Raw genomic sequence first — 4207 nt, 5'->3', positions numbered from 1 at the left:
TTAGCCGCTGAAAACTCTCTCATGGAAATTCCTTAGCCTGGTTTTAAAATCTCTGCATTGTTCAGTCCTATCTGCTACCTGATTTAAGATCCTCCCACTCTCCCCTTCTTTAACCTCTGTTCAGTGACCTGGACTTCTCTCTCTCTCTTTTTTTAAATAACAAGAATGCTTGGCACAGAATCAAGAACACAATAGTGGCTGCCGTTATTGCTATTAACTGAGACACCAGCAAACCCTTCCCCAGTCCTTTCCTTCGTGATCCTGACACGGTGTGCAGCATGAACCAGCACACACCAGACCTGATCCATCCTCTCACAGGCTCTTAAAACTCACTAATGAAGGCTGCTCCTGGTGAAGGCACCCTCTACCTTCCCACTGTCCCTTCAGACCCCTAGTGGCCAGCCCAGCCCAGCGCGAGGGTCAGAAAGCCCACTCATAAGGCCCACCCACTCTCCCAGATACCGGTGAAGGAAAACAGATGCCAAGTCCACAAAACAGGAGAGTCAGACTATTAAACATTCAAATGTTCATGGGACAGAACGCTGAGCATAGACATAGCCTCTCTAATCGCTGCTACCTAATGACACAAATGTGACACAGCAGCCACATCTGCAATGCCTCCAGGGGCAGTTTTTTCTCTTTAACAAGTCAAGTACTTTCTTTCCTCGGGGCCTTTGCCTTCAATCTTTCCTCTGTGTAAAATGTTCTTTTGGCAGAAAATCAGTTGGTTCCGGATAGTGTTCTCCTCCTCTTCCACAGTAAGAGAATTTTCGCTCGGCATGTAGCTGCCCAGAATAGAAATTACATTTCAAGTTTCTCTTGCAGCTAGGTGTGCTTATGTGACTAAGGTCTGGCCAAAAAGATGTGAGCAGAAGAGATGGGAAATTGCTGAGTTGTGTCCTTATCAAGAACTGCCCTTCTCCTTCTTCCTCCGTCTTGCTGTTTGGAACACAGAGGTGGTGGAGCCACCTGGGACCTTACAGATGAAGGACTGAAGGAGGCTGGGTCCCTGGATGGCCTATCCTCAGGCTACCACATGAGGCAAACAATAAACTTACTTGCTTATGCCATTGTTAGAGGGTCTCTGTTACATGTGCTGATGCCTATCACGGCACTTCCCATAGAGCTTCACATGGCAGGCCCTGCTTATCATTTAGGGGCTCAACTCCGACATCGCCTTAGAGAAATGTTTCTGACCACTCTACTGAAAGTCAGGCGGTTAAATCTCTGTCACTCTTTTATTTTCTTGATAGCACACAGCAGTATATGGAATCGTTTTATTTCGTTGTTTGCTTTTTACTTGTCTTTCTCCTAGATTATAAGTTTCATGAATGCAGTGACCTTGTTGTCTTGCTCATTGCTGGATTCCTAATGCGTGGAACAGTGCCTGGCACATAGTGGGTGCGCAATATATATTTGCTGCGCGATTGACTACATCAGATGGGAATTCAGTAGATGAGAGGTCAGTAGATAAAGTAAATAAATCAGTAAAAAGTGACATACGCACACTGTTCGGACATACAGACATACATTCGGAAAAGCAACAGCTAAAATATTCTTAAGTGGTTGCTTCTGGGGATCAGGGCTGAAGTGAGAACAGGTGAGACAGACTGCTTTTTTTTTTTTTTTTAAAAAAAACCTTTTGATACTATTAGATTTTTAAACTTGTGCATATATTATTTTGGAAAAGACCAAATTTAAGAAATAATTAAGAGGCCACACACGGTGGCTTCATGCCTGTAATGCCAGCACTTTGGGAGGCCAAGGCACGCGCATCACTTGAGGTCAGGAATTCCAGACCAGCCTGGCTAGCATGGCAAAACCCCATCTCTACTAAAAATACAAAAATTAGCCAGGCACGGTGGTGCATACCTTTAATCCCAGCTACTCGGGAGGCTGAGGCAAGATAATTGCTTGAACCTGGGACGCGGAGGTTGCAGTGAGCCGAGATTGTGCCGTTGCACTCCAGCCTGGGCAACAGAGTGAGACTCCATGTCTAAATAAGTAAATAAATAAATACTCTGTAGTCATTAAAATGATATGGTAGAAGAATGCTTAATGACATGGAATGACATCTATAATATGACAGTATATCATATGTAGAGCAAGACTCAATTTTTATACATGTATGAAGCACACAGCTTTAAAAAGATGCTTTTATAGTTCATGCATACAGCCAATTCCTAACTTTAGATATAAATGAATATGCTATTTTTATTAATAGAACCAGTGTTTCCTGGTTAACAATGTTGAATGAATACTAAAAGACTTCAGGTTTGAAGGGACAACACAGTGTCTTCCTTCCCAGAACTCCTACGGGCCTTTGTCCAATCCTTCTTTTTAGCCACTTAGTGAGGAGTTTTGCCCTTATCCTAAGAACAGTAAGGAGCCAGTGAAGTATGTTTAGCAGCAGTGGTATAAGATTGTTTTTAGGCAGATTTGTGAAAATGGCTTTAAAAAGCGAGCTTGGAATCAGAAAAATAATTAGGAAGCTATTAAGTCAATCAAGGCAAGAAATGATGGATGCTTAAAACAGGAAAGCAGCAGTCAGGTCAGAGAGAAGAGGACTGTCTGCAGAACAGCGCAGAGGGTTGGCAGTCTTGGCGGAAGCGAAGAAGGCTCCAAGGCTATAAGCTCCATGAGGGCAAGGACCACTTTGACCTTGTTTAGTACTCTGTCCTGGGCCTGCCTAGCACAGTGCGGGTGCATATTGACACTCAGGAAATATTTGTGATCTTAAGAAGAAAAAATGATGAAGGATGCGGCTTGGAAGTCTGGCCAGGTTGCCTGGTGAACCACAGGTTGTTCACTGAGCATGACAGGAGGACCAGTGTGGGTAGAAGGAGATACTCTGGACCTGCTGGGTTGTAGATGCCTGGTGTTCATTCCAGGGAAGGTAATCAATGAGCAGTTGGCTGTCCAAGTCTAGAAGATCTTGGCAAGGGATAGGCTTAAGGGTCCTCAGCATACGGATGGTACCTTTAGGCAGAGGGTGAATAATACTTTATTAGAAGAGTAATAGGTCACTATAGGCCAGGCATGGTGGCTCATGCCTGTAATCCCAGCATTTTGAGAGGCTGAGGCGGGTGGATTACTTGAGGCCAGGAGTTCAAGACCAGCTTGGCCAACATGGTAAAACCCTGTCTCTACTGAAAATACAAAAATTAGCCAGGTGTGGTGGCAGGCAACTGTAATCCCAGCCACTTGGGAGGCTGAGGCAAGAGAATTGCTTGAGCCCAGGAAGTGGAGGTTGCAAGTGAGCTGAGATTGTGCCACTGCACTCCAGCCTGGGTGACAGAGTGAGACTGTGTCTCAAAAAACAAAACAAAATAAAAACAAAAACAGTATATAGCATTGAGAGACGAGAGATGATACGACAGAACCTCCAAGCAATTCCAAAATTAAAGGACAGGGGCCTATGGAGGAGAAGACAAAGGAGCAGCAGAGAGGCAGGAGGGACAATCTGCTGTCACAGAATAAGGGACGATCAGCAGTAAGAAATGCTGCCGATACAGCATGAAGGTGGGCTCTAAACATCGTCCGTTGTATTTAGAACAAATAAGTTGTTAGTGATGATCACTTGAGGTGCTTTGGAATATATATAAAAAATTAGAGACTGGGAACCATTTTGTTAAGAAGGCTGAATGACTAATCTGCCACTTTTTCCTCCTTTTTAACTTTTTCTCCTTTAATTTTAATGAGTCTCTGGACTTGTACCCACCACTAGATTGTCAGCTTCTTATCAAAGTTCCAGTGACTAGTTTGGCAGCAGGGAAGTTTTTCCACTTGGTCAAATTTTTAATCAGGTCACTATCAGTAAGCTGACAGAGACTTGTTTGTGCTGGTTCAGAATGTGGGTCCCACAAAACCAGGCCTCCAAATACTTGGCTTTCTTGCTTTATGACTGCATTTACAGTTCGTGTGTATCTTTTTCATCTTTCCTAGAACAAAGATACACACACACACACACACACACACACACACACACACACTCCAGAAAAGGACTGACATGAAAAATTATGGCATGAAAAATTATGCTGCCATTATATTCTTGATTATTGATTGACATTTGGATTGTGTATTTTTCCAAATTTTCTTGGCCAAGAATATTCTCAGCACATAGTTATTTCCTGAATACAGCTTTTATTCCCCTCTTCTTTCTTCCTTCAATATATTATTGCTATTTTTATCACCACCCCAGAACAGG

At 43.3% G+C, this 4207-nt stretch overlaps 1 non-coding gene across 1 annotated transcript, besides 1 other annotated feature; it reads right to left on the bottom strand.

Moving 5' to 3' along the window:
* Positions 259-758: an enhancer, noted in NCBI's record as "H3K27ac hESC enhancer chr10:115580091-115580590 (GRCh37/hg19 assembly coordinates)". NCBI's record gives its function as "activates a minimal SCP1, AML or CMV promoter by ChIP-STARR-seq in naive H9 embryonic stem cells {active_cell/tissue: H9 hESC(naive)}" and the evidence as "EXISTENCE:reporter gene assay evidence [ECO:0000049][PMID:30033119]".
* Positions 500-631, bottom strand: LOC124900297 (small nucleolar RNA SNORA17). Its single transcript, XR_007062405.1, has one exon. It is a non-coding gene; the product is annotated as a small nucleolar RNA SNORA17 (small nucleolar RNA).

Source organism: Homo sapiens, chromosome 10 (assembly GCF_000001405.40).
Source record: "Homo sapiens chromosome 10, GRCh38.p14 Primary Assembly".
Taxonomy (NCBI): Eukaryota; Metazoa; Chordata; class Mammalia; order Primates; family Hominidae; genus Homo; species Homo sapiens.
Note: the sequence above shows the minus strand (reverse complement) of the source record. Positions and strands in the feature narration are given on the sequence as shown.